The sequence below is a fragment of the Homo sapiens genome, chromosome 6 (genome assembly GCF_000001405.40).
Source record: "Homo sapiens chromosome 6, GRCh38.p14 Primary Assembly".
In the NCBI taxonomy this organism is placed as follows: Eukaryota; Metazoa; Chordata; class Mammalia; order Primates; family Hominidae; genus Homo; species Homo sapiens.
The window spans coordinates 165,992,172-166,000,867 of record NC_000006.12 but is presented as its reverse complement, the minus strand read 5'-3'; positions in this window follow the sequence as shown (position 1 = coordinate 166,000,867).

Here is an 8,696-nt window from a genome sequence, read left to right as displayed (position 1 = left end):
TAAATGGGTTACATGCCGTGGCAACGTGTTCTTTTACTTGTACATTAGTCAAAATCTTAGCATTTCTTTATGAAAATTTCCAGATTTGCAAGAGAATCCCTAATATTTAAAGCCTTAGTGTGTTGAGAAATGCCTCAAATCTGAGAGAAGAAACTTCACAACTTTCAATGCGATATTATTTATTTTTCACATAAGGAAACCCTCGTGTTGCATTGTCACAGATAGCATGGGGGAGGAAGAGCTGGAAGACAAACACTTAATAAGAAACAGCAGCAAAGCACATTCCCAAACAGCTCCGATTTTCAGTGCAGCTCACTAGTATTTGCTGCCTACATATAAAAAAATTAATTCCCAAAGCGTACATAGTTGAACATAGGCTGTCCAATTTAACTTTGAGCAAAATTCTGCATTTTGTAATTTATAAGAAGACAATTTTTTATGTTGGCATTTAGTTGGGCCTAGCAATTCTCTTACCTTTTTTTTTTTTAACAACTCTTTTGTCTGTTCCTTAAAGACATTTGGCCTCTAATTGATCAGTGCTGTCTCTGTTATTGCATATCAGTTACTATTCTAAAGTCAAGATGTTTCGATATATAATAGCTCTTTTTTTCACAAATTGGCCCAAATCTGTAGTCACTAATGGGTAGCAAGAGTGAAATCTCACAAGAAAATGGAAGTAGTTGAACAAAATACTTTATACCAAATCAAAACATGTTCAGTATGATGAGCACAGCGCCTACTGTATTTATTCATGTTATTCATGCTAAGGCAGATGAAAACTTAAGTGATAAACCAGAAGCCCCTTTGACTTCTGCTTGATTTTTATTTGTGAGCCAGGCGCCTGCCAAATGCTGGAGACTGAGAGCAAGGAGGGACATGGACCTGTCGTGGGGTTCAGGGAGAAAGCTGAGTGATTGCATTTCCAAGTTCTGTTCTCCCTTCTCCTTTCTAACAGATCCCTGGTTCTGTTGGGGCGGGGGGAGCTGCATGCTTTGCCCACGTGACACGGTCATGTTAATCTTCTGGTCTTGGAAGAGGTGGTCTGTGACACAGTCCCGGCCGATGAGGTGTGAGCTGTCTGCTGGACGTTTGTGGAAAAGGTTTTATTTTTCCTGACGACATCAACAACGATGTCGGTTGATGTCAACCTCTCTTCCCTCATTTTCATGCCTTGGACACAAAATGGGGCCTGGATCTCCACAGGGAATCTTGTCCATGAAAGGAACAGTGGGAGGAAGAGAGCCAATGGCACTGCCAAAGGGCCAGCTCTGGCGTTGCTGGGCCTCTGACTAGCAGCAGCAACCACCCCCTTTCAGAACGTACTGTTCTGTGAGAACAAGAGGCTAGGGTTTCTGTTCTAGATCACATCTCTTACCACACACAGGCACAGGCAGATACCGCACACACACCCCCGACTGCCATAATACAATGGGATAAAGTGTGCCCTGGTATAGGTTATTCTGAGGAGCTATCCAGCTTCCTCCCAAGGTGGAGGACAGAGGGTGAGAGCTTCCAGGAGCAAGTGGAGTGGCGCACTGCCGAGGGAGCACAGCCAGCCCGGCGGACCTTGGCCTGGGAAAGGAGCCCAGGCAAGATGTCCTGGCAGAGGACTGAGCATCAGTAAAAGAGAGAAGCGTGAAGGAGCTGGCATGCTGGGAGCTCCAGGTGTTTGTGTGATTGGAGAAGAAGGAGGCCTCGGCCAGTGGAGGAGGACAGAGCTGGAAGAGCGGGCAGGGTCCTCCCTGAAGGGCTTCCTGGGCTCACCTGGGCTGGGGCTGTGTACTGAGGAGAGTTTCTGGATGCTGTTAAGCTGCTCATATTTCCATTTCACACAGTTATAATGAAGGCTGGGACAGAGGGAAAACTGAGGAAGGGGACGTGTCAGGTGGCCTCCATGGGGTCTCAGTGGAAGAAAATGAGAAGGGCCTAACGCCAGCCACTGGGAATGGAGAGAAGGAGGGCTCGAGTGATGCCTGGCTGAGGACAGTGATGCAGCATCTGCAAAGGATTGGAGGCAGGTGGAAGACAAAGGCACACTCGACCTTGGTGGCTTCCGGGGTGGGGAAAGGGTGGGAAGCACAAGGAGGCTTTCACAGGAGCCCCTGCGACAATGAATGAGAAAGCAGGATGGCACTCGGGGCCTGGCTGGGGTTGGAGATTGTGTCAGTCCTACATCCCAGGGGCTGTGAGTGAAATACCGCAAGGGCCTTAAAGCAAGAGACCGGGCACTACGTCACCCAGGGAACGGTGACATGGACTCGACGGACTTGGCCAGCATAGCCAGGCCGATCCTCTTCCAGAAGACGAAGCACTTTTAGAATCAGAGCTTCGAAGTCCTTGATAGAGGTAAATTTTATAAAGTACACATCAGCCATATTGATACATTCTCTTTCCTTTCCACCTGCACTCTTCATTTCCCTCCTACCAGTGGGAGGATTCCCTTTTATTTCCTGGTCACTGAGTTGGGCATAGAATGTTAGGAGTGGACATACGTAATATCCTCTCCTCTCCTCTTCTTTCTTCCTCCTTCCTTCCTTCTTTGCTTTCTCTCTCTCCCTTTCTCTCTCTTTCTTTTCTTTTCTTTCTTTCTTTTCTTTCTTTCTCTTTCTTTCTTTCTTCTCTCTTTTATCTTCCTTTCTTCTTTCTTTCTTCCTTTTTCTTCTCCTCTCCCTCCCTTCTTTCCTCCCTCCCTTCCATTCTTCCTTTTCAGCCTTTGTTTGTTAGCCAACTACACCCAAAATTCAAAATCTCGAGATTCTGCACTCAAAAATTACACTAAAAAATTCGAGATCTTATGGAAAGGCAAGAAAAAAATCTAAATACTTTCCATTGAATCAAAGGTGGCTGGTCTCACACCTCCTAGGTGGAAAATATGATCTTCAAAATGACTTTAGGGAGCTGTACTAGTTCTCTTTTTTTAAAGTTTCATTTTTAAAAAATTTATTTTTGCTGAGGATCTTCAAATATGGGGAGTGAAATTCTTTTCCACTCTCTTAGTGCACTCACCACCAACCTAACATAGGTTACACGAAGAATCAAAATGTTTTAGGACCAGAAAGAATCTTACAGATCAACCAGTTTAGCCCTTTCATTTTACAGATGTAGAAGATAAGATTCAGAAAGGTGAAATAACATTTCTAGAATTAAACAGTGAGTTTACAGTGGTTAGGATAAAAATGAACAAAAAAACCCAGGCTTCCCAAATTTTAGTTAAATTTTTTTTATCTTCTCACTATCTTGAAAGGGAGATGTTTCAAAGACTATAGACATATAGAGATATGGGTAGATGACAGATAGATAGATGATTAGATAGATAGATAGATAGATAGATAGATAGATGATAGAACTTTGTGATTATGCCTATAAATGACACACACACACTTGATTCTTAAACTCATTGTGTAATTATGAAAATTATTATTTTCCCCCCTTTTACAGACAAGGAAACAGAGGCTTAGTAGCATTAAGTGACTTTCCCAAATTCACAGAACAAGAACATGTCAGAATTGAGAACAGAAATCACATTTGGTTCTAATCAATTTATTTCATAGATAGATAGATAAATAGATAGATAGATGAAATCTCGCTCTGTTGCCCAGGCTGGAGTACAGTGGCCCAATCTCTGCTCTCTGAAACTTCCGCCTCTCACATTCAAGTGATTTTCTTGCCTCAGCCTCCCTAGTAGCTGGGATCACAGGAACACACTACCATACCTGGCTAATTTTTGTATTTTTAGTACAGACCGGGTTTCATCATGTTGGCCAGGCTGGTCTCGAACTTGTCACCTCAGGTGATCTGCCTGCCTTGGCCTCCCCAAGTGTTGGAATTACAGGCATGAGCCACTGCACCCGGGCTATTTCTAGTATATTTTATTATATAACATGGAGGATACCAGATGGAAAATGTATATGCTGAGTTTAGTAGACCAGTATTATAGAAACATGCTTTTGTATTCCATACTCTCAAGTTCGCCGGAGCCCAAATTGTCTGAGGGTGAAGTAGGCCTTAGATCCTAACCATTCCAGCTGGGAGAACCAAATTACTTCCTTAAAATGCATTAAATATTTTTAAATTAATGCAGATTGATATGGTTTGGCTCTGTGTTCCCACCCAAATCTCCTGTTGAATTGTAATCTTCAGTGTTGGAGGAGGGGCCTGAGGGGAGGTAATTGGATCATGGGGGCCGACTTCCTCCTTGCTGTTCTAGTGATAGTGAGTGAGTTCTCACGAGATCTGGTTTTGTAAAAGTATGTAGTGCTTCCCCCTTTGCTCTCTGTCTCCTGCTCCACCATGTGAAGATGTGCCTGCTTCCCCTTCACCTTCTGCCATGATCGTTAAGTTTCCTGAGGCCTCCCCAGTCCTGCTTCTTGTTCAGCCTGTGGAACACTGAGTCAATTAAACTTCTTTTCTGCCTAAATTATCCAGTCTCAGGTAGTTCCACACAGCAATAGAAGAACAGACTAATACACAGCTCTATCACCCCTTGGAAGTTTTATTTATTGTTCTTTAAAAAAGAAAATGATTAGTAAATTAGAAACTGGTACAAAACCTTTGAAGAATAATTTCACAGTATCTAATAAAACTGTTTGCAGTTACCTGTGCTCCAGCAAACCTGCTTCTAGGTCTACACCATGAAGTTATACCTCTCATAGAATAAACATCTACATGTGCAAAGTAACTCATTGCAGCATTATTTGTCATTGTGAAGTGTTAGAAATTACCTAAATATAAGTGTGTAAAGTAACTAATTGCAGTGTTATTTGTAAATGTAGAATATTGGAAATTAGCTAAATGTTCAAGCACAGGATACTGGCTGAATGAACTGTAGTACATACACACTGTAGAGTTCTGTACAGCTGTTGAAAAAAGGATGAGGATGATACTGATAAACTGATATGGAGTGATTTCTAGAAAATATTATTAGGTGAAAGCAGCAAACTGCAAAAGAGCATATATAGTACACTGAGTTGTATGAAGCAAAAAGAGAAAATAAGAAAATAAATTTTTACCTGCTCACCTTTACAACAGGAGACGAAATTCAGATAAACCTGAATACAATGAAATTTGCTTCCTATAGAGTCTGGGGGTGGGAGGGAGATGGAGTGGAAGGAATACAGCGGGAAGGACTCTTCTGCCTGTATTTCTTAAAGTGTAGTTTTGGCTTGTGAAGGCATATTCAAAAAATATTCAAACAATAAAATTAAATCAGTAAGAATGGAAAGAGAGAAAAGCCCTAAAACTGAAAGGAAATTAAAACAAATGAACTCAAATCATGTTTCCAGTGAAAGGCAATAAAAGGGAAATCAACTAGAAAGAACAAATACAAATAACGATGAACACAGAATTTAACTATAGATCCTCCAGATTCTGTGCTGAGTGGTGAAAGAAATTAGGGGGAGGAGTTGCGAACACGTCCTGACCTTTATTGAGTAGAGTGTTTTGTTGTGGTGGCATGGGCGAGCGATTAGGAAACTATTCTAGATGCACTAGAGGATTCAGCAAGTGAGTAAATACATTGATGTTTTTGGGAACCAGGGATTTCACTGTGATGAAAGAGACATAGACAAATAAATGGCTCTTGATTGCCAAAATAAGTACATGTATGTATATGTGCACATGCATGTGTTTGTGTGTGTATGTGTGCATGCATGTACATGCACTTATTGCTTAGATCTGTCTGCTGCAAGGGCCAGGAGGAAAAGACACCCCAGCAGCAATGAGCACACCTAGTACCTGTGTCTTGGTCTATAATTCCATTAAAAGGAACCAGTGTTCTTCTGAGAAATGGCTGACCCCAGGGCCTGGAACAAAGTAGGTACAAATGAGCCCAAAGCACCTTATTAAGCCAGAAAGTAAGGAAGTGTTTAGAAGTGATGGGGGCATGCCATCAGGATGCAGGAGCCAGGTTGAGGGGACTCTCATTGGCCCTTTTAATGGATCAAATATGAACATCAAAATAGTATATGAAGGAATGAATTATGAGTGATTAAATATAGGAATTCATGAGTCCAAGATACTTGTGCTATGAATAAATAGGTACAGATGTTAGTCATTGAGGCATAAGGAAGTGTTTTTGCCTGCCTGAGGGCTGAAGTGGAAGAAGTACTGAGCTTGAACATCACCGAGGCAGGAGTAGACCAAGCAGGAGTCAGGAGTGGGTGCTGAGTTAGGGAACTGAGTTTAGGAGCAGGATACTCGCCTTGTCTTCTCAGCTGCCCAAAGGCTGCTTATTGGTTGTACCTGAAACAAAGAGAGTAATTATACAATGGGAAAGTCAGATCATGTCTCAATCAGAATTCACATCACCCATGGGACATAAGTGCCTCCAGATATGAAATTCTGAAACAGACACCACCTCATCTCCATAGCAGTCCAGCTGAGATGGCAGAACCCTAACCCAGGCTGAGAAATGTTTTATTAAAAATAGAAGGAAGATGCCAGGCATGGTGGTTCATTCCTATAATCCCAGCACTTTGGGAGCCCGAGGTGGGAGGATTGCTTGAGCTCAGGAGTTCAAGACCAGCCTGGGCAACATGGCAAAACCCCAGATCTACCAAAAAGTAAAAAAAAATTAGCTGGGCATGGTGGCACATGGCTATAGTCCCAGCTACTTGGCAGGCTGAGGTGGGAGGATCCCTTGAGCCGTGCAGGTTGGAGATGCAGTGAGCTGAGATTGCACCACTGCACTCCAGCGTGAGTGACACAGCGAGACCCTGTCTCAAAAAAAAAAAAATGAGAGGAGGGTCTGTATTATTCAAAAATGTCTATGTCATAAAAGACAAAGAAAAATTCCAGAAATTCTCCAGATTGAAGGGCTATAAGAAATAGGGCAGATAAATGCCATCCTTGAACCCTAGACTGTATGCTGTGTGGGACAGGAGGATGGGGAGAACATCATAAAAGACATTATTGCATCAATTGACAAAACTGGGATGTGGGTGATAGATTCGATAAAAGCATTGTAGTAATGTTGTTAATTTAGTACAGTTGATACCAGTACTATATCTATATAAGAAATTCTCTTATAGGAAGTACACACTGAAGCCTTTGGGGGTCAAGGACCTAGAGATACGTAATTCACCTTTTGCTGCTTTATAAAGCAAAGGATGAGGGTGCACGTGATAGACTAAGTGGGATAAGATGCTAACAAGAAGTGAATCTGGGTAACAGGTGTTATAGGTGTTTTTGGTATTATTTTTATTCTTGCAACTTTTCTGTAAATTTGGAATTATTTCCAAATAAAAGAATAAAATTGTGGGTGATGGAATTTAAATAAATGAACATATATAGAATAACTAAACTATGCCACTTATGGAAGAAGAACAGATATGATATAATATTTCTGCAATTATATGATTAGTTTAAAATCCAAGCATAATGCATAGCTATAATGTCCTTCTTCCCAAAAAAGTTACTTCAAGGCCTACAACAAATGTTCTATGTCATATTATTTGCTCTCCTTTTCCTCATTTATAACAGAGTATTTTGGGGCTGGAGAATTAGCCTTCTTAGATAACTTACTGTTTCTTGTAGCTCTAAAAATCAATGATTACATTCTGAATGTTTTTAGATCTAACCCATTTGCAACTTTAAGTAAGCTTCTTCCAGACTTTCTGTGTTTCCTGTACTTATTTTAAAATAGTTTCCCATAAGTTAGAAATTTTTTTCTGTATAGAAATTGTTGTGCTCAATCGGTCAATGTAGTGGGGTGTCTTAGTCTGTTTTGTGCTGCTATAACAGAATACCTCAGACTGAGTAATTCATAAAGCACAGAAATGTATTTCTCATGGTTGTGGAGGCTGGGAAGTCCAAGATCAAGTTGTTGCCAGCCTCTGGTGAGGGCTTTCTTGCTCCTCACCACATGGCAGAAGGAGGCAGAAGGGATTAACCCTCTCCTTAAGCCCTTTTTATAGTGCTGTTCATTCGTTCATGAAGGCAGAGCCATCAGGACCTAAACCTCTCACTAGGCCCCACCTTCCAACACTGTTGAGATGGGGATTAAGTTTCAAACACATGAGTTTTGGACGGCACATTCAGACTACAGCATGAGGGAAGTATCAGTTTGTCTAATGATGGGTTCTTATAAAGTAGTCTGTAAGCTACTTTGGTTTTGCTCATTTTTTCTGCACTATTCCTTGGAAGTGGACAGAATTAACACTCCGTTTATCTGAAGGTCTCTCTTCTTCTCAGAATGAGAAGAACCTAAAAACGCCCTTCCAAGAAAAGGGAAAATGAAAAGGTCTGACTATGTGAAGCAGCTCTCACACTAAAGCGAAGGCCGTCCACATGTCAGAAGTGCTGAAGCCTTGCGCAGGGCATTTTTGTTCTTAAAGAACCTCCTTAAGGTCTTATGGGTCAGTGTGGAAGCAGTAACACAGGGATGAGGAAGCAAGGCCACTGACAGTCAAGTGGATACCCGGCATGGAACGAATTGGGGAAGCATCCTTAGAGAATTGCATTGCATTTCCTAGGCTCACATGACAAATGTATTGCCCTTACCATAGCTTAGATGAAATTTGCCCTGTAATTTGATCAGTTATAACTTTGATATGGGTAGAGGTGGCCAGAGGAAAGGAAAAGAGTATTCTAGTGCTCACAAAGACTAATTGCCCACTGTAGAGTAACAAGGTGGCTTCTGGCTCCTACATCAATCTCTCATGAGTCTTCATCTAAGCTCCTTTGACATGGATCTGTTC